Raw genomic sequence first — 26,813 nt, 5'->3', positions numbered from 1 at the left:
CAGCTGTGCACCACCACCCTGGCTAATTTTTGTATTTTTAGTAGAGACAGGGTTTTGCCATGATGGCCAGGCTGCTCTTGAACTCCTGGCCTCAAGTGATCTGCCCGCCTTGGCCTCCAAAAGTGCTGGGATTATAGGTGTGAGCCACTACACCCAGCCTTATTCATTCTTTCTAACTAATGTTTTTGGTACCCATTAACCATCCCCACCTCCCCCAACCCTCCCACTACACTTCCCAGCCTCTGGTAACCATCCTTCTACTCCCTATCTCCATGAGATCAATTATTTTGATTTTTAGATTCTACAAATAAGTGAGAACATGTGATGTTTGTCTTTCAGTGCCTAGCTTATTTCACTTCACAAATGATCTCCACTTCCATCCATATTGTTGCAAATGACTGGATTCCATTCTTTTTTATGACTGAATAGTATTCCATTGTTTATATGTACCACATTTTCTTTATCCATTACTTGCTGATGAACACTTAAGTTGCTTCCAAATCTTAGCTATTATAAACAGTACTGCAACCAACATAGGAGTGCAGAGATCTCTTTGATGTATTGCTTTTCTTTCTTTTTGGTATATACCCAGCAGTGGGATTGCTGAATCACACAGTAGCTCAAGTTTTAGTTTTTTGAGGAACTTCCAAATTGTTCTCCACAGTGGTTGTACTAATTTACATTCCTAGAAACAGTGTATAAGGATTCCTATTTCTCCATATCCTCACCAGCATTTCTTATTGCCTGTCTTTTGGACGTAAGCTATTATGACTGGGATGATATTATATCTCATTGTAGTTTTGATTTCCATTTCTCTGATGATTAATTATGTTGAGCACCTTTTCATATGCCTGTTTGCTATTTGTATGTCTTCTTTTGAAAAATGTCTATTCACATTTATGCAGCCAACAGACACATGAAAAAATGCTCATCATCACTGGCCATCAGAGAAATGCAAATCAAAACCACAATGATATACCATCTCACACCAGTTAGAATGGCAATCATTAAAAAGTCAGGAAACAACAGGTGCTGGAGAGGATGTGGAGAAATAGGAACACTTTTACACTGTTGATGGGACTGTAAACCAGTTCAATCATTGTGGAAGACAGTGTGGCGATTCTTCAAGGATCTAGAACTAGAAATACCATTTGACCCAGCCATCCCATTACTGGGTATATACCCAAAGGATTATAAATCATACTGCTACAAAGACACATGCACACGTATGTTTATTGTGGCACTATTCACAATAGCAAAGACTTGGAACCAACCCAAATGTCCATCAATGATAGACTGGATTAAGAAAATGTGGCACATATACACCATGGAATACTATGCAGCCATAAAAAATGATGACTTCATGTCCTTTGTAGGGACATGAATGAAGCTGGAAACTATCATTCTGAGCAAACTATCGCAAGGACAGAAAACCAAACACCGCTTGTTCTCACTCATAGGTGGGAATTGAACAATGAGAACACTTGGACATAGGAAGGGGAACATCACACACTGGGGCCTGTCGTGGTGTGGGGGGAGTCGGGAGGGTTAGCATTAAGAGATATACCTAATGTAAATGATGAGTTAATGGGTGCAGCACACCAACATGGCACATGTATACATATGTAACAAACCTGCACATTGTGCACATGTACCCTAGAACTTGAAGTATAATTTTAAAAAAAAGTAAAAAAATAAAAAATAAAGAAAAATGTCTATTCACATCTTTGGTCCATATTTTGATTGAATTATTAGATTTTTTTTTCTCCTATAGAGTTGTTTGAGGTCCTTCTATATTCTGGGTACTAATCCCTTGTCAAATGGGGAGTTCACAAATATTTATTCCCATTCTGTGGGTTGTCTCTTCACTCTGCTGATTTCCTTTGATGTGCAGGAGCTTTTTAACTTGATGTGATCCCTTTTGCCCATGTTTGCTTTGGCTGCCTGTTCTTGTGGAGTATGGCTCAAGAAATTTTTACACAACCCAATGTCCTGAAGATTTTCCCCACTGTCTTCTTGCAGTAGTTTCGTAGTTTGAGGTCTTCAATTTAAGTCTTTAATCCATTTCAGTTTGATTTTTGTATACGGTGAGAGATAGGGGTCAAATTTCATTCTTCTGTATTTAAATATCCAGTTTTCCCAGTGCTATTTATTGAAGAGACTGTCTTTTCCTCAGTGTATGTTCTTGGCACCTTTGTCAAAAACGAGTTCACTGTAGATGTGTGGATTTTTTTCTAGGTTCTCTATTTTGTTCCATTGGTCTCTGTGTCTGTTTTTATGCCAGTACCATGCTGTTTTGGTTACTATAGCTCTGTAGCATAATTTGAAGTCAGGTAATGTGATTCCTCCAATTTTGTTCCTTTTGCTCAGGAGAGCTTTGGCTAACCTGGGTATTTTGTGGTTCCATATAAATTTTAGGATTGTTTTTTCTATTTCTGCGAAGAATGCCATTGATATTTTGACAGGGATTGCATTGAATCTGTAATTCTTTGGGTAGTATGGGCCTTTTAACAATATTGATTCTTCAAATCCATGCATATGGAATATTTCTTCATTTTTTTGGTGTCCTCTTCAATTTCTTCAATTGGTGTTTTATCATTTTCATTATAGAGATTTTTCACTTCTTTGGTTAAATTAATTCCCAGGTATTTAATTTTATGTGTGGTTATTGTAAATGGGATTACTTTTTAAATTTGTTTTTCACATTGTTCACTGTTGGCATATAGAAATGCTACTGATTTTTGTATGTTGATTTTATATCCTGAAACTTCACTGAATTTGTTGATCATTTCTAATAGTTTTCTTGTGGAGTCTTTAGGTTTTTCCAAATATAATATCATCTGTAAACAAGGATAATTTGACTTCCTCCTTTCCTATTTGAATGTCCTTTACATCTTTCTCTAGTTTGATTGGTCTATCTAGGACTTCCAGTATAACTTGAATAACACTGTTGACAGAGGGTACCTTTGTCATGTTCCAGACCTTAGAGGAGAGGCTTTCAGTTTTTCCTTATTCATTTTGATGCTTGCTGTGGGTCTGTCATATATAGCTATTATTATGATGAGACATGTTCCTTCTATCCCCAGTTGTTTGAGGGTTTTTATCATAAAGGGATTTTGAATGTTATCAGATGCTTTCTCAACATGAATTGAAATGATCATGTGGTTTTTTTCCTTCATTCTGTTGATATGATGCATCACACTGGCTGATTTGCACATGTTGAACCATCCTTGCAACCCTGGAATAAATTCCACTTGGTCGTGGAATTTATTGAGAATTTTTTCATCGATATTCATCAGATATTGGCTTATACTTACTTATTTATTTATTTATTTAAATGTGTCTTTGTCTACTTTTGGTATCAGGGTAATATTGGCCTTGTAGAATGAGGTTGGAAGTCTTCTCTCCTCTTCTATTTTATAGAATAGTTTGAGTAGGATTGGCATTAGTTCTTATTTAAAAGTTTGATAGAATTCAGTAGTGTAGCCATCACGTCTCAGTCTTTTCTTTACTGGGAGACTTTTTATTATGGCTTCAATCTTGTTACTTGTTATTGGTCTGTTCAGGTTTTGGATTGCTGCCTGGTTCAGTCTTGGTAGGTTGTATGTATCTGGCAATTTGTTCATTTTGTCTATATTTTCCAATTCATTGGCATCTGGTTGCTCATAGTAGCCACTAATGGGCCTTTGAATTTCTGTAGTATCAGTTTTAATGTCTCTTTTTTCATTTCTGATTTTATTTATTTGGATTTCTTTCTCTTTTTTTCTTAGTTTGGTTAAAGGTTTGTCGATTTTGTTAATCTTTTCAAAAAACCTACTTTTTATTTCATTGGTCTTTTGTATTTTTTTCATTTCAATTTTATTTATCTCTACTCTGATCTTTATTATTTCTTTTCTTCTACTAATTTTCTTCTCCTAATTTTGGATTTGGCTTGCTTTTGCTTTTCCAGTTCTTTAAGAGGCATCCTTAGATTGCTTATTTGAAGTTTTCCTGTTTTATGATTTAAGCACTTATAGTTATTAGGTTGGTGCAAACATAATTGTGGTTTTGCCATTACTTTTAATTACTTTTAATGGCAAAAACCACAATTACATTTGCACCAACATAAATAAACTTCCCTCTTAGTACTGCTTTTGCTGTGTCCCATGGGTTTTGGTATGTCATATTTCCTTTATCATTTGTTTCAAGAAACTTTTCAATTTTCTTCTTAATTTCTTCATTGACCTGCTCATCATTCAGGAGCACATGGTCTAATTTCCATGTATTTGTATAGTTTTCAAAATTCTTCTTATTGATTTCTAGTTTTATTCCATTGTGGTCAGAGAAGATGCTTGATATTATTTCAATTTTTTGAATGTTTTAATATTTGTTTTATGACCTAACATAGGATCTATCTTTGAGAATGATCCGTGTGCTGAGGAAATGAATGTGTATCTGCAGCTCGTGGATGGAATGGTCTGTAAATGTCTATTAATCTGATGTTTCTTTGTTGATTTTTATCTGGAAGATCTGTCTTTCTGCTGAAAGTGGGGTGTAAAAGTCTCCAGCTATTATTGCCTTGGGGTCTATCTCTCTCTTTAGTGGTAATAATATTTCCTTTATGAATCTGGGTGCTCCACTGTTGGGTGCATATATATTTAAAACTGTTATGTCCTCTTGCTGAATTGACCCCTTTATCATTATATGCTGACCTTTGTTTCTTCTAGGTTTTGTCTTGAAATATCCTTTGCCTGATATGAGTACAGCAACTCCTGTTCTTTCTTGGTTTTCATTGTCACAGAATATCTTTTTCCATCTCTTTATTTTTAGGCTATGTGTGTCTTTGTAGCTGAGTTGTGTTTATTGTAGGCAACAGATCAATGCGTCTTGTTTTTTCATCCATTCGGCCACTCTATGTTTTTCTATTGGAAAGTTTAGTCTATTACATACAATGTTAATTTTGATAAGTAAAGACTTACTCCTGCCCTTGTGTTATTTGTATTCTGGTGAAGGTGATTTTCTCTGGTGATATGATTTCTTGCTGTTTATCTTTTGTGTATACATTGTATGCTTTTTGGCTTGAGGTTACTATGAGGCTTGCTAATACTATTTTATAACCCATTATGTTTAACCTGATAACAACTTAATACTATTTGCATAAACAAACAAAAAGAAAACTAATGAAAGCTCTATGACTTAACATTGTTTCCCCACTTATTAACTTTTTGCTGTTTCTATTTATATCTTATTGTACTTACTATGTCTTGAAAAGTTGTTATAGTTATTATTTTTGATTGGTTCATTGTTTAGTCTTCAACTACTTAGGGTAAGAGTAGTTCATATACCACAGTTACAGTTTTACAACATTTTTTTTTGTGTCTGTACTTATTGTTACCAGTGAGTTTTGTATTTTCAGGTGATTATTTATTGTTCATTAATGTTCTTTCCTTTCTGATTGAAATAGTCTCTTTAGCATTTCATCTTGTCTTGTAGGACAGGGCTGGTATTGCTGAAATCCCTCAGCTTTTCTTTGTGTAGAAAAGTCTTTATTTCTCCTTCATGTTTGAAGGATATTTTCACTGAATATATTATTCTAGGTTTAAAGTTTTTTTCCTTCAGCACTCTAAATATGTCATGCCACTCTCTCCTGGCCTGCAAGGTTTCCATTGAAAAGTCTGCTGCCAGATGTATTGGAGCTCCGTCATATGTTATTTGTTTCTTTTCTCTTGCTTTGTGTGTGTGTGTGTGTGTGTTTGTTTTGTTTTGAGATAGAGTCTTACTCTGTCACCCAGGCTGGAGAGCAGTGGCATGATCTTGGCTCACTGCAACCTCCACTTCCTCGGTTTAAGTGATTCTTCTTGCCTTAGCCTCCCAAGTACCTGGGATTACAGGTGCCCACCACAACGCCTGGCTAATTTTTTTTTTTTTTTAGTAGACACAGGGTTTCACCATATTGGCCAGGCTGATCTCGAACTCCTGACCTCAAGTGATATGCCTGCCTTGGCCTCCCAAAGTGCTGGGATTAGAGATGTGAGCCACCATGCAAAGCCACCAGTCTTTTAGGATTTGTTCTTTATCCTTGACCTTTGGGAGTTTGATTATTAAATTCCTTGAGGTAGTCTTCTTTGGGTTAAATCTGCTTAGTGTTCTATTACCTTCTTGTACATGGATGTTGTTATCTTTATCTAGGTTTGGGCTCTGTTATTGTCCCTTTGAATAAGCTTTCTACCTGTATTCCCTTCTCTACCTCCTCTTTAAGAACAACAACTCTTAGAGTTGCCCTTTTGAAGCTATTTTCTAGATCCTGTAGGCATGTTTCATTGGTTTTTCTTTTTTCTTTGGTCTCCTTTGGCTGTATTTTCAAATAGCCTGTCTTCAAGCTCCCTAAATCTTTCTTCTGCTTGATCAATTCTTGTTGCGGGAAGTCAGGGACCCCAAAAGGAGGGACCGGCTGAAGCCATGGCAGAAGAATGTGGATTGTGAAGATTTTATGGACATTTATTAGTTCCCCAAATTAATACTTTTATAATTTCTTATGCCTGTCTTTACTGCAATCTCTAAAAATAAATTGCAAAGATTTCATGGACACTTATCACTTCCCCAATCAATACCCTTGTGATTTCCTATGCCTGTCTTTACTTTAATCCCCTGATCCTGTCAGCTGAGGAGGACGTATGTCACCTCAGGACCATGTAATAATTGCATTAACTGCACAAATTGTAGAGCATGTGTGTTTGAGCAATATGAAATCTGGGCACCTTGAAAAAAGAACAAGATAACAGCAATGTTTAGGAAAAAAGAGAGATAACCTTAAATTCTGACCGCTGGTGAGCCGGGCAGAACAGAGCCATATTTCTCTTCTTTCAAAAGCAAATGGGAGAAATATCGCTGAATTCTTTTTCTCAGCATGGAACATCCCTGAGAAAGAGAATACACGCCTGGAGTTTTAGGCTTATAAACAGCCCCCGCAAGGTGTGCCTGTCTCTTATGGTCGAAACTGCAGAGATGAAATAAGCTCCAGTCTCCCATAGCGCTCCCAGGCTTATTAGGAAGATGAAATTCCCACCTAATAAATTTTGGTCAGACCGGTTGATCTCAAAACCCTGTCTCCTGATAAGATGCTATCAATGACAATGGTGCCTGAAACTTCATTAGCAATTTTAATTTCACCTCGGTCCTGTGGTCCTGTGCTCTCGCCCTGCCTCCACTTGCCTTGGGACATTCTATTACCCTGTTAAGTACTTGATGTCTGTCACCCATACCTATTCGCACACTCCCTCCCCTTTTGAAAATCCTTAAAAAATACTTGCTGGTTTTTGTGGCTTGTGGGGCATCACAGAACCTACCGACATGTGATGTCTCCCCCGGATGCCCAGCTTTACAATTTCTCTCTTTTGTACTCTGTCCCTTTATTTCTCAAACTGGCTGACACTTCGGAAAAATAGAAAAGAACCTACGTGAATATCAGGGCAAATTCCCCGACAAATTCTGCTATTAAAGTACTCTGATGGATTCTTTAGTCTGCCAATTGCATTTTTTAGTTCCAGAATTTCTGCTTGATTCTTCTTAGTTATTTCAATCTTTTTCTTAAATTTATCTGATATTATTCTGAATTCCTTCTCTGTGTTATCTTGAATGTTTTTGAGTTTCTTCAACCTATCTCTGTTTCTCTAGGATTGATCCCTGGTGCATTATTCAGTTCATTTGATGAAGTCATGTTTTCCTGAATAGTGTTGATCCTAGTAGATGATCTTTGGTGTCTGGGCATTGAAGAGTGGATATTTACTATAGTCTTCACTGTCTGGGCTTATTTATAGCCATCTTTGGGAAGGCTTTCCAGATATTTGAAAGGACTTGGGTGTTGTGATCTACAAGGACGTGAGTGTTGTGATGTACTTCAGGGAGCACCCCAAACCCAGTAATGCTATGATTCTTGCAGACTCACAGAGTACTGCTTTGATGGCCTTGGACAAAATCTGGGAGAATTCTCTAGATTACAAGGCAGAGACTCTTGTTCCTTTCTTCTTACTTTCTCCCAAACAGCCTCTGTCTTTGTTCCAAGCCACCTAAAGCTAGGGATGGAGTAACACAAACACCCCTGTGGCCACCACCACTAAGACCGTGCCGGGTTAGACCTGAAGCCAGCAGAGCACTGGTACTTGACCAAGGCCTCCTATAACCACCCCCTGGCTACTGCCTATGTTTGCTGAAGACCCTGGGGCTCTACTATCACCAGATGGCAAAGCCAGCCAGGCCTGTGTCCTTCCCTTCAGGGAGGGAAGGTCCCCCAGCCCACCAGTGGGTACAGAAGTGCCATTGTCTAGGAGTCAGAGACTAGAGTGAAAAACCTTAGAAGTCTACCTGGTGTTCTATTGTATTGTGGCTGAGCTGTTAAACAAACCACAAGATGCTGTCCTTCCCACTCTTCCCTCCCCTTTCCAAAGGCAGAGGAGCCTTACCCTATAGCCACTGCCATCCTGGGCCATGAAGAGTACTGCCAGACTACCACTGATGTTCCCTTAATGCCCAACAGCTCTTAAGTCAGCTTGTCATGAATGCTGCCTGGCCTGGGACTCACCCTTCAGGGTAGTGGACACCCCTCTGGCCCAGGACAGGTCCGGAAATGCTGTTCAAGAGTAAAATCCTAGAATCAGGGACCTCGAGAGCTTGCTTGATTTTCTACCCACTGTGGCTGGGCTGTTACCTGAAGCCATTCTCTTCTGGTCCAGGGTGTGTCTAGAAATGTTCTCTGGGAACTAGGGCCTGGAACAGGGGCCTTGCAGCCTTGCAAGTCTATCTGGTGCCCCATCCTGTTGTGGCTGAGCTTGTACCGTAGATGCAGGACAAAGTTCTCCTTGTTCTTCCCTCTCTTCTCTTCAAGTGGAAGAAGGTGTCTCTTTTGGAGCTGCAAACTGTGCAGCCTGAGGTTAGGAGAGGGGTGAGGCCAGCACTTCCTTGACTACCTATCCAGTGTCTCAGTATGTCACATGCCCCACCAGTCCACTGTCCTGGGCCTACTTCAGCACTAGGATATGCCTAAGAGTTGTAGTCCTTATGGCCTAGACTGCCTTTCAAGTTTACTTGGAGACAGACAGCTGTAGCCCTGGGTGGCGAGGTTTGCAGGCACTCAAGTCCCCCTCTGGCTAGGGCTAGTTTAAATGTTCTCTCTGTGGGTGGACACCAGCTGAGTTTGGGGTTTCCTTTCTGCTCTAACAAGACAGCACCGAGTTCAACGCCGCACAATTGCTGTGTTCTCACTCCCCCAGCACCCAAGGACACTCTCCACACCATGCTGCTCCTGGGGTCGGGGAGGAATAGGGGGTGGCATCGGCAATTCAGTACTATTTTTTCTCTCTTTGTTGCCTCTTTCAGCACTATGAAGTTAAAGCAAGGTACTATGAGTGCTCACCTGATTTCTTGTTCTTATGAAGGTGTTTTTTTCCATGTAGATAGTTGTTAACTTGGTGTGGGTTAGTGGGAACGATTCGTGGAGCTTTGTATTTCACCATCTTGCTTCGTCTCCCTCTTTCCCAGACTTTTTGAACCCTACCAACTATAGTGTTTAAGTGTGAGTAGAAAATAAAGGGACTTTGTTGAAAATCCTTCTGATTGGTCTTTATTTTTTAAGAGGACTGAATCTTGACCTGCCTTGTAAGAATAGCCTATTAATTAATTTGAAGGCAAGGCCAGGAGAAGGAAGGCTCCTTTAACTGTTGGCCAAAAATTATCCTAAAATACTTAGAGAACAGTTACTCTTTCTAAAAATGTGAATCTAAGTCTTTCATATTTTCATATCAGTTTGTTTACTGGCTACTAACTTTGTAGGCTGAGCAAAATACAAAGAGGAAAGAGTAAAGGACCTCTTTAGCATTAAGGAAAGTAAAAATTTCTTGCCTAGAATTTGTCAAGGTAAGGCAAGGGTGATAGATTCAGCTAGTAAGAAAACAATGAGTTGCCATTTTTAGATTCAGACAGTTTATTACTTACTTGGAAAGCAAAAGCAAGAGTAGCCAAAGATGCCAGCTCTGGTATCCCTTGCACAGGGTGACACTGATACAAAGGAGGCCAGATGACCACAACCTGGATGATAGGGCACCCTGTTCCTGAGGAACCAATGTCATGCTTCAGCTAAGCAGTTTTACAGCCTGAGGCTGTATTCTAGGGAGAATGAGGCAGAAAGTGTCATACCTCCTCAAAACACAGGAGGCAATGAGAAACTGGGAGGTGAATGAGAAATGGCCTTGGGTCAGCTCTTAACAAGCCTCTCATGATCTCATGTTGTAGGAGAATCAACAGAATTCCACCATGACTTAGATCAGCTGCAGTCAAGTCTTGCTGATGTGGCCTTTGTGGAGATGTGCAAGGGCGCATGCAAATGTTCAGGTCACTGTGGTAGAACCCTTCTCCTATATTTAGTTTCTGTAGCCATTTATGTGACTGTGATTTCTGTTAATCAAAAATAATGGCTTTGACCTGAATAAATTATTTACTGATGTAATAAGAAAGTCAAGCAGAATGATTATTCTAGTTCAAAAAGGCTAAAATTATAGGTAAGTCTTCACTAAACCCAAAAGTCACTGATTTGTTTAAATTCTACATTGTGAGATTAAACAAATCTCAGTCACTTCATAAAACCCATTTTCACTTCCCTGCCCCCAACCTTTTTTCCCCCACATGCTTGCCCTGCTTTATGGAACAAACATTGATGAATGAGAGACAGAAGGCAGGAAGGATCCAGTTAAAAAAAGTGCCTTAACCTTTCCCCTCCTGAGGGAGGATTGTTACCCAGTGGTTTCACACAGCCTTCTTGAGATGTCCTGTGTGACTAAGCAACCAACTGCATGTACTGGGATGCTATAATCAGCTTGGAAACATACCACCATGGATCTTCCTCCCTCTGTCCCTGCCTCTGTTCTCCCTTTTCCTTCATTATTGCTTTTCTAGTACTGCAACCCCCAAGAAAATTTTAACATGTGAGCTTGTCTCAGGCACTGTTTTCTAGAAAATCTGAGCTACGGCCGTCACTTATATTTTTAAATATTCATTATACAAAATTTCATACATATACGAAAACCATGGAAAAGTACAAAGAACTCCCCTCATCATCTAGATTCAATAATTATCCATTTTATTTTCTTATTTATGCTATCTCTTTTTCTTCCTTCTTTTTTTTTATGTTGAAGTATAAAGTAAATTCCAGAGAGTATGTCATTTAACTTCAACATACTTCAGAATGCCTCTCCAAAAATTATGGACATTTTCTTACATAATCACAATGCCATTATTACACCTAATAAAATAATATTTCTTTGGTATCATCTAACACCAGTCCATAGTTAAATGTCCGTGATTGTCTTACAAGTCTTTATAGTTGTGATGTTTCAATCAGGATCCAAATAAAGGTTCACATCTTACATTTCATGGCTGTATTTTTTTTAACCTAGGCTTCTCCTGACCCATTCCCTCTCCTGTGTGTCCAGTTATTAACTTGTTGTAGAGACTACATCAATTGTCCTAGAGAGTGTCCTCCATTCTACTCCATTCTAGATTTACCTGTTTCCTTCTTTGTGGCATCTTTTTTTCTTTTTTTTTGAGACAGGGTCTCACCCTGTCATCCAGGCTGGAGTGCAGTGGTGCCATCTTGGCTCACTGTAACCTCCGCTTCCCGGGTTCAAGCGATTCTCCTGCCTCAGCCTCCTGAGTAGCTGGGATTATAGGCACGCACCACCATGCCTGGCTCATTGTTTATTTTTAGTAGAGACAGGGTTTCACCATGTTACCCAGGGTGGTCTTGAACTCCTGGCCCCAAGTGATCCACCTTCCTCGACCTCCCAAAGTGCTGGGATTATAGGTGCGAGCCACTGCGCCCAGCCTCTTTGTGGTGTCATTTAACTTATTCCTGTAACCCTCATGTTTTTTGTAAGCCTGTAAGTGAGAAGTCAGTTTTAAGGCTTGATTAGATCCCATTCATGTTTTTTGGGTGATAACATTTCATAGTTGTGCTGAGTGCTTCAGATGGCATTAGATCAGGAAGCACACAATGTCTGGAGTCCCACTTGTAATGACAGATTATTAGGCTGAGGTAGTGACGGTCTGATCTCCATTGTGAAGTTCCTCATGAACATTTCATCTGTTGGTTTGATCCATTGATGATGGTTGCCTGAATCATTTATTAAATGCAAGATTGCTAAATGGTGGGTTTCCAATTCTGTTGTTTCATATTTATTATAAAAAACAACTTTCCCTCAACACCAATTTGGTTTTCTGATATATAGTTTAATCAGGAAAGATACATCAGAAAATTTGAATTATTTTCTTTTAATGGACAATTTTAGAATAAGGGCTTAATGCTAGCTACTTGCAATAGTGTCCAGTGGATTTTTTTTTTCCTTTTATTGACCTCCCCTTTTTGGAACATCATTAAGAACTCATGAATTTTTATATATTCAGTATGTTTCTAACAACTGCATCCATTACTTTTTTTGATGCTTAAATTGTCCATCTTTGGCCAAAGGAGCTATTTGATATTGGTTTCTGTGTCCCTTTGACACATTTTGTTGTTAATGGATTCCCGGCTTTGTGGGACAAGTTATCCTATGCTCATCTTGTGTATAACCTGACCCAGATCTGAAGTCAGACATTTGGTTGGTCAGCTCTAGTTTCTTTTAGTTGGAAATTGTATTAAAAAACCCCAAACTGGATGATTTACATTATTTTTATTTGTAATAAAAATGAAAGGTTATATATTTAAAATTTTATTCCAAGGTAGTAAGTTTAGAATCAAGTATTTAGTTCATAAATAAAACTGTAATTGCTTGTTTTGTTTTTGTTTTAAGCTCGCTTTTAAATTATTTTTATAAAAGGGGATATACCTTGTTATAAGCATACCTAAAATTGGATTAATAACTATATACCAATCTTACATTTTTTCCAGATGGTACAATTTATATTCAAAATTTTCCAAAACGTTTGAGATGAAGGATATAAATGAAATCTCAAGTGTTTTCATATCAATTCAAATAATAATATCAATTTCATCAGAGTTGCTATAGTAAAAGCTTTTAAAAACTTTATTGAAATGTCATGGTTTGATATGAGCTGACAAATATGAGTTTTAGCTTGAAATAAGTAAAGGGCTATAATTTCAGGTGTTAACAGAAGCCTGTGTGGAAATATATGACATTCAAACAAATGAAATGCAAAAGGCCATTTGGCAGTAATTCTCCAAGTGAGGTTTGAGAACACCTAGGGGTTACTGAAACCCTTCCCGGAGCTTTGTAAGGTCCTCTCTTTTTCAACTATGAATTCGTATGACAGTTAATTTTCTTCATATCTTAGGTATAACAACATATCACAACAGCCTGAATGCAGAGGCAGAATATGAGAATCCAGTGCTCTCCTTAAGCCAGATAATAAGAGATTTATAAAATGTTAAAAATGCCACTTTTCTCTAATTTTTTGGAAAAAAAGTAGTCATTATTTATAAAAATAACTTTTACAGTAACATGTAATGGGTTTAAATTAAGCAAACACATGTCTAACATTTTTCTATCTTAAATTTTAATACAGTAAATATGGACATATATAACCCACATAAACAACAGCTCTTTAAAGTTCTCAATCATTTTTAAGAATGTAAAGAGAACTTGAGATCAAAAAGTAGTTTGAGAACTGCTACTCTATGATACCTTCTATTATTTGCTTACCAATGGTAAGTATGTATAGATAGGAATATATTTTAATATCTATATTTGTGGAATCTGTAAACTTAATTATTTTAACTTTGTTTAAATATCTCTTTGACCATTAGATTTGATGCCTAACTATAGTTTAAATTTGTACCTTAGTTAGGACTTTATGATTCATTTTCCCCTGATGGTATTAACAACAAATAGAGGTCTGCTTTAATATATAAGGAGACAAGGCAAATATATTTGAACTAGATACATAAAGCCAAATATTCAGCTTAGAATTTAATTGATAAATTAGAATAAAATAGGATGCTCTAACTGCTGCTTCTTTTTCTCATAAACTTTTTTCTCCCAAAGATCAGTTTCAGGTTCAGAGCAAAATTGAGCAGGAAGTATAGGGTTCCTATATATTCCTGTACCCCACATCTGCACAGCCTCCCTGACTATGAATATCCTGTACCAGAGCAGTATATTTGTTACAATTGATGAACTTACATTGACATCATTATCACCCAAAGTTGAGATTTTATATTAAGGCTCCCTCTTTGGGTTGTATATTTTATGGGTTTGGACAAATGTATAATGACATGCATCACCATTATCATATCATACAGAATAGTTTCACTGCCCTAAAAATCTGTGCTTCATATCCCCCTCCTCTGTGACCTCTGGCAATCACTGATCTTTTTACTGTCTCCATATGTGATGGTTAATACTGAGTGTCAGCTTGAATGTATTGAAGGATAGAAAGTATTGATCCTGGGTGTGTCTATGAGGGTGTTGCCAAGGAGATTAACATTTGAGTCAGTGGGCTGGGAAAGGCAGACCCACCTTTAATTGGGTGGGCACCATCTAATAAGCTGCCAGTGAATATAAAGCAGGCAGAAAAACATGAAAAGGAGAGACTGGCCTAGTCTCTCAGCCTACAGCTTTCTCCTGTGCTGGACGCTTACTGCCCTCAAACATCGGATTCAAAGTTCTTCAATTTTGAGACTCGGACTGGCTCTCTTGCTCCTCAAGCTTGCAGACAGCCTATTGTGGGACTTTGTCATCATGTAAGTTAATACTTAATAAACTCCTCTTTATATTTATATGTCTATCCTATTGGTTCTGTCCCTCTAGGAAACCCTGACTAATATACCATAGTTCTGCCCTTTCCAGATATTAGCTTCTTTTTAAGTACACTTGATGAATCTTAGTGATAAAATCAGGCCAGACCTAGCAACTCTTTTTGTATGTTTATTGACTTCCCAATACAATAAAGGCCATAAACACCTGTCTTTGTTGTTTATTCACCTACATTCCATCCCAGACTGTCAGTTCCTAGTGACCAGGAGCTCCATTCAATTTGGGGTCATGGTACCAAATAGTTCTTGACTGCTATTTGATGAGGGTGGTCCTGTCACCTAAGTGCTCTTGAAATTAAGTCCTTAAGCACTGGCCGAAAAGAGCTTACTTTGCAGTAATTATTTCAGTGACAAGTAAGAAAAACTGGGACATATCCCCTTCACAGGAGAGCAATTTTGCTCTCTTTAGGAAACTCTTGGAATTTTAGTTATCAGGCTATTTAAGACCCTGAGTAGATTCTTAAACCTTTAGAATAAATTTTGAACCAAGAGTGCCAGAATGTCTGTTATTTACATTAGTATTAAGTGATCTGAAAGTGCACAGAGTAGTTTGGCAGTATCTAGAGGGAGAATAGAGACAGAAATAATGAAGATACAACTGGAGGAGTAAGAAAAGGAGAAAAAAAGTATTTTATGTCTGTTCAGTATTTCTAGGTGCCACTGCTGCTAAATGCCTGGGCTTCAGCCTAGGTTGGGTTGCTCCTAGCAAAGAAAACCAGTCCCTGAGACAACGAGTATTGCCAGGGAAGACAGGCTTTAATGCAGGTGATGCTGGCAGGGAGACCAGTCTCAAACATGTCTTAGGGAGACTAAAGTTAGGGCTTTCTATAGCAGGGAATTATGGAGGGGTAAGGAAGAGGAGTTTGTGAACAGGCAGCAGATGCACCTCATTGTCCAGATGTAGTGTTCTGGAAAGTTGCATTTCCTTGACACTATCTGGGAGGTCTGACAGTTTATCTGCTGAGAAAGGAACTCAGGTAAAATGCACGCAAGTTTCTCAAGTTTCACTTCGAAGGGAAAATTTGGCCGGTTTCGGTCTTCCCTTTCTATTTATCAATTCCTCAATCATGCGGAATCTGGTAGTTGATCTTTCTGGCTGCTTCACGTGAAGGAAGGGCATCTTGGGATGATATGGAATGAAAATATCGCACCTGTAATTGCAAGTACTTACGAGTACCTGGTTGGCATCCAGCTTGTTGGAGCACCATGATTTGGGTACTTTCATCAACATTTTAAACCACATTGAATTAGGATAATTAATAACATGGATAAGAAGGTTTCTTTGTAGGTTGTAATAACCCAGTTAAGAGTTTGTACCATTCGGCCGGGCGCAGTGGCTCACGCCTGTAATCCTAGCACTTTGGGAGGCCTAGGTGAGCGGATCACGAGGTCAGGAGATGGAGACCATCTTTGCTAACACGGTGAAATCCCATCTCTACTAAAAATACAAGAAGATTAGCCGGGCATGGTGGCGGGGGCCTGTAGTCCCGGCTACTAGGGAGGCTGAGGCAGGAGAATGGCGTGAACCCGGGAGGCGGAGATTGCAGTGTCGCTCTGGCGACAGAGCGAGACTCCGTCTCAGGAAAAAAAAAAAAAGAGTTTGTACCATTTGAGGGCAAAAGCTTCAGTATGAAATTCCCGTTTCTCTCAAGTAAACCGCCTGTCCTGTGTTACTCACTTTGTTTTACCTGGAGGCAGCAAAACTGAATAGTTTTCCTGAGTGCTCATGAGTAGGAAAAAATGAAATGAAGAGTTGCCCAGAGATCGCTAGTGAGGTGCTTTGCCACTACTGCCCTGTACTTAAGTAACTGTGAGGGTTCTCTGTTTCCTGGCTTCTAAAACAAGAGGAAGAGCTGAAGACACAGTTTCATAGACTTTTCGGCTCTTTATTGTAGTCTCCCCCATTAGTACGTTGCTGAGCTTAGGGCAAGTGCTCAATAATAGCTTGCTGAATTAGTGTTGTGTTTGATCCTTTCAGATCCACGCCGCATTTTGAGCCCGACCTGGGCGGGCGGTCCAGAGACCAGTTTTCCGCCGGGGGCGGAGCTTCGGGCGGCCAGCGCGCGACGGGGCAGCGGGGCGGAGCTTGCCGCCGGCGGAGGGCGGGGTCTGCGCGGGGACTTCCCCCGGGCTGAGCTGCGCAGCGGGTGCGGAGGGCGGGCGCCCGGCGTCCGGCGGCGGGTGGGGGGCTGTGAGGCTGGCAGGGGTCGGCGGGCGCGTAGCCGCCGACCCTTGGTGGTCTCTTGGGCTGGGGACCCTTCCCTGGGAGTCGGCCCCGGCCCCGGCGGGGCGGGCGTTGCCGGGAGGCGGAGGGGTGCGCGGCCGCGAGTCCTGCGTGATCGCGAGCATGTGTGCGTGCGCGTGTTTATCTGAGGCGCGTGCGGCGGCCACCCCAGCCTAGTCCTCTTCTTGGTGCCACTGGCTAACTAGGTTGAGAAACCGGCGCCACAGGCGGCACACCTGGCCCGGAGCTGGCCCGCTCCTCCCCGCCGAGCCGGCGCCCCAACAACGCGCCCTCTCCCAGTCCTCACAAAGGGGCCTAGTCCGGCCCCCGGCTCTGGCCGTGAGGGAGCGCTGTGGGGGCGCGCTGCCTTCTGCCTGGAAGTGTTGGGCAGGTGGTGGGAGAGCGTCAGGCTTGAACAACATGATTTTAAAGCACGTGTCTGTCTGTCGTTTTTTACTTTTAGGGTTTTGGCCAAATTGGGCGAGGGCACAAAATAACCACTTACCCCTTCTCACCGAGGAAGAGCGGGAGAAAGGGTAAGTAAGGAATGGTCAGGGGTGGAAGGACCTAGGACTTTATCCTGAGAGCGAGCGAGAGAGAGAAGGGCTAGATGTCCAGAACTGCTCGTGGGGAACTTGGGCCCAGATTCTACCTTTTCATCGGGAACTGGAGGACCCACCTTCAAAGTCACAGGCTCCAGGCCCCGGACTGTTTTCAGCCTCACACAGTCTATAGAGTTTAACAGCTTGGGCATGTGGATCCCTTTTAGCCCCTTGACCCGACAGAAAACTGCACTTCCCCTTTACCTGTTTTTACCTTGGAACATTGGTCCTCTCTAGTTGTCTGTCTCCGGCCCCTATCTTATTAGCCAGCTTTGACTAATCCCTGAGACCATAGCACTAAAGAATCCAGGTCCTGTTTGATAATGAACAGTAACCCCCCTAGGGATGTTTACATTTTAAAAGGGTACTCCTGAAAAAATCCTTTAGGACCCCAAAGCATAAAGTTAGTAACAAGATTACAAGTGTTGAAGTTCTTTGGGATCTCTCAAGCTTACAGAAGAAGATGTTTTGAGGGGAGAGAGATGACCAGGCTGGGCCTTTTTCTCTGGGCTTTCACTCTTGGTACCTCCTGGCAAGCATTCCATTCACTTTTGAAAAGTTGCCAAAAAGGACACTGAAGTTCTCTGAGGCTTACTGTGATTTTCAGTGTGGTCTATTTCATTGGTTCTTCTGTGGGACTTTTCTATCACTTCTTTAATACACTGCTTCCCTCTCCCCTGTATGGTGAAATGAAACACAGCTCCTCTCACAAGGTTGGGAGCTCATTATGCATCCTATATGTCACATATAAATAACCGTTTTAAATTAGTTGAAATTCAGATTAGCTACAAGCAGGAATGTAGTAAAACTGCATTCTTGGATTCTTACACAGGAAAAGTAGAATTGCCCTCTGTGATAGGCTGCCTATTCTGATACTGGCTGCCTGTGTCCTGAACGTGCCTATTTGTTTGTGCTCAAGTGATAGGTGACCACATAATTTATGGAAAACAGGAAGTGATTGTTTATTGATAATGGGTTCCTTCATTGATTCAATAGCTAATTCTCTCTTACCATGTGCTACGCACTTTTATCAGCACTTTGATAAAAGTAGGATGGTGAGAATGATGAGATTGTATTGGAGATGGCTGTTTTGGGGTAGGCCTTTCACCAGTTTTGTGGATTTTCTCAATAGTTACATGTTAATTTACAAGACTTTCCCTGTACTACTGATCATAGTGGTTTGCAGGTCTATACAGTGTTGTGGGAGAACAGAATTATTATTCCGCCTTTCTAGTACTTTCAGTAATAAACTTACAAGGATGGCTGACCTTGATGATTTGTTTCCTATAATGAATAATGTTATAGTCATTTTCCAGTGTACGAGTATAATAATTAGATGAGGATAACTTTTGTAGTTGTTCCATAAGAAGGACCTAATATTAGGAATCATGGAGAGTGTAAAGGATGATGTACTTAGAAAAATAAATTCGAAAGTAGACCATTTTTAACTTGCATGGGTTTCTGTGCATTTAGCCTCATTTAAAAGATCTAAGCTAGAATAGTTCTTTGTCTTTTTCTGGTTATAAGAGTAATAAAAAGTCAAAAAAAAGTTATTTAGAATTAAATCTGGGAGGGTATAAAAGGCAATAAGTGAGTTTCCTATGAGTCCACTTTCAGATGACCACTTAACAATTTGATACTTGTTTCTTCAACTTTTTGTTCCATATATACACATACTAAATATGCAGCTTAAGTATATGTTAAACATGTATACATCTTAACTGCGTATTATATATGGAACATATGTGGAACATAATACATGTTTTATATATATATATTTCACTGTTATTTGATAAAATTGTAAATTTCTTTCTTTTTCTCCTTCTTCTTGGCTATTTACCACCCCTCCTCACTCCACCCCACAACTTCATGTAGAAGTAGCATGACTTTTACAGTCTTTTGGACATGAGCTTGATTTCTGGCTCTTATTTTATTAGCTGTGTCACTTTGGGCCATTAAAATTTCTCTGCTGCTTGATTTCTTATCCATCAAAACAGAACAAAGAGTATATATAAAAGAATGTGTGAAAAAACAGTGCCTGGCATAGAAGTACTTACTTTTAAATTTCCCTCCCTGTTTTTCTATGTGGTCACCCATTACTTTCCTATGATCTTCCTTTTGATTGTGGAAAGCCATGTAGTGCCTAACTTTCCTATAGCTGTTAAGCCTCCCTGGGATTTGCTTTTCACAGGGGTTCACCTGGTGTATCTGATCCTAGAATTTCTGGGACGAGGACTGACACCTGATGTGGCCTTATCAGATCATTCCACAGCCTTGGATAAAGAGTGTCAGCTTGAAAAATGAAGGGAAAGAATTTCTATAATGTGTTTAAAAAGCCCTGACACTATTCTTAAAGTGAGAAAGACATATTACTGTATTTAGCTGAGTACTTAAACTTAGGATTTCCATTTTGGAAATGTCTTTGGTTTATAAGGATTACAATAAAAATGCTGATGCTTCATGTCCAAACTGTCATGATTTTGCCAAGTTGTGGATTTAATATACAGCTTAGCTGTGTATTTAGTATATCTGATACTGCTCTGGAAACTGAGAAAGACAAGTTCACAGACATCTGATTTCACACCAGACATCTGGTTTCACTTTACTGAGGAGTATGTTTTGTCAGTAGATTATAGGCATATTAACTGTACTGCTATAGTTTGTGGCATTTCTCTCATAAGCTGTGGTCTGTAGGGTTTAGTATGATGTTTTAGTCAAATGACAGCCCACCGAAAATGAGCACCTGGTCAGATAAGCACATTTCCCATAGGTTTCTTCTAGTGTCATTGTTCTTACAAGTTAACAAGGCAAAATCATTCTATCTTTGGTGGCTTTTGTATTTTTTGTGGAAGCAAGAAAATATTCTTAAAGAAAAGCCTTACTTAAGAACCCATTGTATTCCACAAGTTCATTTTCAAGTCTGTTGTTTGTAAAGTTAACAATGTACTTATAGGAATAAATAGCATTTAGATTTCCAGATCAGAACCCCAGGAAATCTAGTACTTACTTTCCTAAAGGTACTAAGGAAAGCTTTTTAAACTCATTGTGTGCTTATTATATATTAGTGGTACTGTAGACTCTAATCAACATATATAATAGTGTTTTGGAGGTAAGTGTCTCCTGAGTGCCAACCTAGAATGGCTGGACCACGTCTCCCTCCATTTTGAGGTAGTGAGGGGTATAGAAAAAGCTCTGGAGGTTGTCATTCTTAGGTTTTCAGGCAGGGCCTGTTATTGCTTAACTGTTGACCTTGGACACAAATTCCTCATCTATAAATGGGATAATTACTTATGATTACTGTGAAATTCAGTGAGTGAGTGTAATGTGGCACAGAATCTGCCGTAAAATAAATTCTCAGTAAATAGTTGTTTCATTTTTCCTCAAAGTCCTAGACACAAGAACAAAGATACCCTTCTATCCCTTGCCCTTGCATCCAGATTAAGTCACTGGCCTGGACCTGTGGCTCCATTGGAGGGGAACTACCCATGGTATTGGGGATTTGGTAGTGAGGACTCAGAAGGGGTCATGCAGAATAATGACAAAGGAGAGGGGTTGTGAACTGAGAGAAAGGTGGCAGTCTTTTGCTCAGTCCATGAATTTAGATCAATGAATTACTTGTTTCCTAGAAAGAACCATCTTTTTCTCTGGCTTCTCTGTTGATCTTTGTCAACTGTTCCGCTGGAAACTCTTACCTTCTTAATGTCTACTTAGTCCAATAATAAGTTTTTTTCTTTGTCATCTTCATACTACCTGAATAACCATATTTTTCTATTTTTTTTAATGGTTAGGACTTAGTAATGGATATCTGTACTACAGTAACAGATGTCTGTACTAAAGATGTCTGTACGTTCTTAAGATCTGGTGTTTTTTTTTCTATACTCAAAGTCCAGTTGATTTTCTTGTTCTTTCATTGACTCGTACCTTATTCATTAACCTCGCCCCTCCTTTTTTTAGTATATCTATCTGCATTGAGCTAGTAATGTACATGGAACTAGTGACTGTGTGAATTGAACTAGTTAGGAGGATATAAAGATGAAAAGTCATCTTTGACCAAGGATCTTATAGTCTGTAGGACTACAGATATCTTGACCAATAGTTCAAATACTGTATGCTATTTGCTATAACAGAGGTAGGTACAAGTACAAATGAAATCTAGCAAGAGCTCTTGATCTCTGCCTGCAATACCAGGTAAGGGTTTTAGTAGTGGTTGTGTTTGAGCTGAGACTTGAAAACTGAGTAGGAGTGGGCATGTTGACAAGCAATAGAAAGCATTTCTAGGTAAAGCTAACAGCATGAGTAGTTGTGTGGCATTACGAGAACATAGTGTATACTGGGAACTATATGTAGGTCAGTTATATTAGAGTGTGAAGGACAAGGTCAGGAGTGAAAGGAGATGAAACTGGTTAGCCAGTTCAGGGTACACTTCCTAGATGAAACTGGATAGCCAGTTCAGGGTACACTTCTTATACCATGTGTAGTAGTGAGCCACTGAAGAATTGTGAGTGTCATGGAAGATCACTGAAAGCAGTGTGCTGGGTAGATTGAGGGTAGAGTGGGGTTGGGTGTGGGGTCATGGCAAGACTGGAAGCTTTCAAGGACAGTACATCAGTAGGGATAAGAGAGGTTGAAAGCTTAGATAAAGGTGGAAGTAGTGGGAATAGAGAAGTGAGAATGTTTAGGAAAAGTAAGATGAGGGAGAATTTGCTGGTCTTTGTGACTGTTTGAATGTAAAAGATATGGGAGAGGGAGAATGTTAGAATGCTTCCTAGGTTTCTGGGTTGTGAGTGGGAAAAGAGAAGAGGAAGAAGGTATGAGGGAGAAGAGAATGAGTTCAACTTTGGACCTGTGTTTAACATGCTCGCAGGGCATATCATTGGCAAGTGTGAGATGTCTAGAAGGCAGTTGGATATAGGATCCTGGAACATCACAAGAGATTGCAAAGGCTGGAGAAACAGATTTGTGTGTTCTTACCATATGGAGAGTAACTGAAGTATCCATAGATACGGATAAAAGTACATAGAGGAATTGTATAGAAAGAGAAGAGAAAAGGGCTAAAAATTAGTCTTAGAGAATGTAAAAATTTAAAGGAGAAACCATAAAAGAGAAAGATGTAAAGATGCTGAAGGAGAGTGGCCATTAAGTATGATGATGATTGTAAAGTTACAATCATCAATGACTGTTAGAAGTCACTGGTTTCATTGTAGTGGTGGAGGTAAAGCTATCGTGCTGTGGGTAAAGGACTGAATAGGAGATGAGGCTGAAGGGGGCTGGACATGAGAATAGAGAGTAGATATGCTTGGGTCCCTCTTAGGAGATAATTGTTCTTCAGTCAGGGTATTTACTTAATACATTTTATTGTGTATATTTAAGGAAAATAACATGTTATGGAATACATGTAAATAGTAAAATGGTTACTGTAGTGAGACATAGTAACATCCATCATCTTACATAGTTATCCATTTTTGTGTGTATGACAAGAGTAGCTAAAATCTACTCATTTAGCAAAAGTCAGGAATACAATACAGTATTATATAGTACTGATGCTGTACATGAGTTCCCAAACTCTTTCATTATACATGGCTGCTACTTTGTGTCCTTTGACCTACATCTCAATTTCCTTCCCCCTCCCCTGGGATCACTGTTTTATTCTCCATCTCTGTATGCACACATATTAGAATCCCCTAGAGAGCTTTTAAAAATTCCGACTGATATCTTTACAAGGTTGCGGTTTCATTTTCTTTGGGTATGTATATATATATATATATACATGCACACAGAAGAGGGATGGCTAATTGGTACAAAATAGAAGTAATGGTAGTTCTATTTTTAATTTCTTTAGGAACCTCCCTACTTTTTCCATAATGGTTGTACCAATAGTATACAAGGGTTCTCTTTTCTCCCACCCTCGCCAACACTTATCTCTTGTTTTATTTGGTAGTAGCCATCTTGATGGGTGTGAATATATGGAAACAACCTAACTGTCCAACAAAAGACAACAGAAAATCAAACTGCAGTACATATATAGAATGGAATATTATTCAGCCTTAAAAAAGAAATAGATTCTGCTTTTTGCCATAAGATAGGTAAACCTAGGGGACATTATGCTAAGTGAAGTAAGCCAAATGCAGAAAGAAAAATATTGTATTATCTCACATGTGGAATCTTAAAAAAAAGTCAAATACATAGTGAAATCATATCACTGCTTCAGATTTTATTTTTTGAGAGAGAAACAACATGTCTGTATGCTGTGAGTTAGAAACACCATAGAAAGGGAGATGTTGAAAATACAGTTGCCTGATTCCTTGCTTGTCATATTTTTTTTTTTGTGAATGAAGATTAGGTTGTCGCTTTGTTTGCCTACTCCTTCCCGGCTTGCAAAATTCATATCTGACCCCAACTGTCAGATATGAATTTTAAATGTCCTTTCTACTCTATTCTTTCCTGCCCCACAGTTCACTGCTGTCTTGCTCTCACTACGTCTGGCCCTTTTGCATACATTATTCTCTAACCTAATCCAGTTGTGCGTAAAAACTCCATTTTCCTTTATTAAAAGTTGAAAAATTTCACAGGAGTGTCTGCTAGGAGAATGGAGGAAATAATGATAACAAACATAAAAATCATTCAGCATAGCCAACATGTATTAATATCTGCTATGGTAAAGGCCCTGGATACAAAGATATATATGGCAGGAAGGATGAGTAACATAGGGATCTGATCTTAATGCATTTATGCCTAGTGCTCCATTATTGGAGCGCTAAGCTAGTGGGAGTTATTTATATCCTACTTCTCAAGGTCATCGCCAAGGCCTGATTTTTCACAAAAAAAATTTGCAACCTCCAGCATAAATGGGTTAAGGACCCCTCAGGGCAGTGAGAAAAATGGATATATAAATAAAGCAGCACCAGTACTTTGGGAGGCTGAGGTGGGTGGATCACCAGAGGTCAGGAGTTCGAGACTAGCCTGGCCAATATGGCAAAACCCCGTCTCTACTAAAAATACAAAAATTAGTCAGGCATGCTGGCATGTACCTGTAATCCCAGAGGCTGAGGCAGGAGAATCACTTGAACCCAGGAGGTGGAGGTTGCAGTGAGCCGAGAATGTGGTACTGCACTCCAGCCTGGGTGACAGAGCAAGACTCCATCTCAAATAATAATAATAATAATAATAAAATAAAAATAAAGCAATGCTTTGAGGGACAATATGTGCTATGATAGAGTTCAAGGTAAGATAGATGCAAAAAATGGACTTCATTATTTTTGTGATCCTGAAGGTCTCACAAAAGGTGATACCTGAGCTATAGCTTGAGATATGGCATGGTGAGGTTCGGGGAGTAAGATTAGGGGAATAAAATATTCCTTAATGGCCCCACGATAGCAGCAGAAGGGGCTTGGGTTTCTCATCTTCCCTTTCTTCTTGTTCTGCGTGATTTTATTGCAAGATATTTTTGTGTTTGAGGGAGTTCTTAGGGGGTTAATATGTTTCAGTTTACATATAGACGTATCAGCATTTTCTCCCTTGTGATATAAACTTTCTGTGAATTTACCAACACTGGTTTATTATATATTAGACAGCTAACACAAACCAGTGCAATTATATCAAGTATCTGGGGGATGAGGTCCAGGCAGTGATATTTTCAAAGCATCTTAGGTGTCCTCATGGCAGTCAGGGTGGAGAACCACTGGGCTAAAACATGGCTTAGAAGAAAAGGCTGGGATTTGGAGCTAAAAAATTGTAGATTAGATTCTTGAATTCCTTTTAATAGTTACGTATCCTTAGTTAAGTTACTGAGACTTCTCTAAGGCCATCATTGAAAAATAGGATGGTAGTATACCCGTCCTGCCTACCTGTTTTGCAAAGTTATATGGCTCAAAAGAGGAGATTTGTGTGAAGGAACATTATATGCAGATGTGATTATAACAATAAAATGTTCTCTTGACCTTCTCCAGAAGTGGACAGGCTTAAGAGCTGGCTACCTTGTCCTGTAAGATAGGAACTACTTTATGGATTTTGATTTAATATTTTACCATCACGAGCATTTTGATGATATATTTTACTACATTTGTGTAATGCTACAAGGTTGAAGACCTAAAGCCAAAATGCAGAACCTTAAAGAAATAGCAGTTGAGCATTTCCTGTCTGATATATTCTAATTGTTTAAAATTACACAGATGCTTATTGTAATTAAGATTTAAGTGTGTAGTCTCAGTGTCAGTAATATTTTAGTATTAAAATTCTCTAAATGTGTTAAGTGTTTATTTTCATGATATGCACATTAAAAATAGCCATTTTCCAGAAAATAGTAACAACTCCACAGAGCACAATGGAGCACCACAAATGGACTTATTTTGGAGATTCCCATTATATTCGTTAAGAATGCAGGGACATATACTGTGTCTCTGTACTGTAGGAAGCTTGACATACTAGTATCAGTCATATAATCGTGTAGGAATGATCATCCTTACAGTATTATACCTTATTTTAGTTGAGAAGAAAGTGGTATTGTTTAATGACAAATTGAACCTAAAGCCTAAAGACTGGGTTCCAGATCTGTTTTCTCTACTCATTCCTATATGATAATTGGTAAATTAACCTCTCTGAGCCTCATATGTAAAATTGGGTTCTCTGTTGTTTTGTAACATGAAAACCTTAGTGGCTGAAAACAACAATGATTGTTTGTTATCTCATGGTTGCTGTGGGTCAGCAATTTGAGGGTCCTTGCTTGGTTCTCTGGAGGTTGCTGTCAGATATCAGCAGGAGTGGAAGTTTTATAGGAGCATCACTGGAGCTAAAAGATTCACTTCCAAGGTGGCTTACTCACTTGGCTGGCCAGTTGGTGTTGGCAGGTTGGTTCCTTTCCACAATGGGCTTGCCGTGGGACTATTCTCATGAGATGGCAGATGACTTTCCCGAGATTCAAGCTGCCAAAGTAGAAACTGCAGTGCCCTTTATGACTTACCTGTGGAAGTCATACACCATCATTTCAGATGTATTCAATTGGTTCTACAGACCAGCCCTGATTCAGTATGGGAGTGGATTACACAAGGACATGAGGCAAGGATCATTGTGGACTGTCTTGTGAGGGTAGGCTCTCTGAGAGGATAACAGTCTCTACCTGACATAGGATTGCTTTGAGTTTCATTGTAAGCATTTATGTGAGAGTCCTTTGTAAACCATTAAAGCAGCATATAAA

General features: G+C 39.4%; 1 protein-coding gene across 28 annotated transcripts in view, besides 1 other annotated feature; it reads left to right on the top strand.

Moving 5' to 3' along the window:
• Nucleotides 16,755-17,384: a silencer, noted in NCBI's record as "silent region_18543". NCBI's record gives its function as "represses an Ori minimal core promoter by ATAC-STARR-seq in GM12878 lymphoblastoid cells {active_cell/tissue: GM12878}" and the evidence as "EXISTENCE:reporter gene assay evidence [ECO:0000049][PMID:35858748]".
• Nucleotides 16,916-26,813, top strand: part of IMMP2L (inner mitochondrial membrane peptidase subunit 2) — an 899,849-nt gene continuing 889,951 nt past the window's right edge. For 16 of the 28 annotated variants that reach the window (XR_007060162.1, XM_047420929.1, NM_032549.4 and 13 more), the window contains exon 1: nt 16,916-17,557. The gene's annotated coding sequence lies outside the window, so the exon portion shown is untranslated. The remainder of the gene's footprint in view (nt 17,558-26,813) is intronic. The other 12 variants (NM_001350963.2, NM_001244606.2, NM_001350961.2 and 9 more) reach the window with 2 other exon arrangements.

This window comes from Homo sapiens, chromosome 7 (genome assembly GCF_000001405.40).
Source record: "Homo sapiens chromosome 7, GRCh38.p14 Primary Assembly".
Classification (NCBI taxonomy): domain Eukaryota; kingdom Metazoa; phylum Chordata; class Mammalia; order Primates; family Hominidae; genus Homo; species Homo sapiens.
Note: the sequence above shows the minus strand (reverse complement) of the source record. Positions and strands in the feature narration are given on the sequence as shown.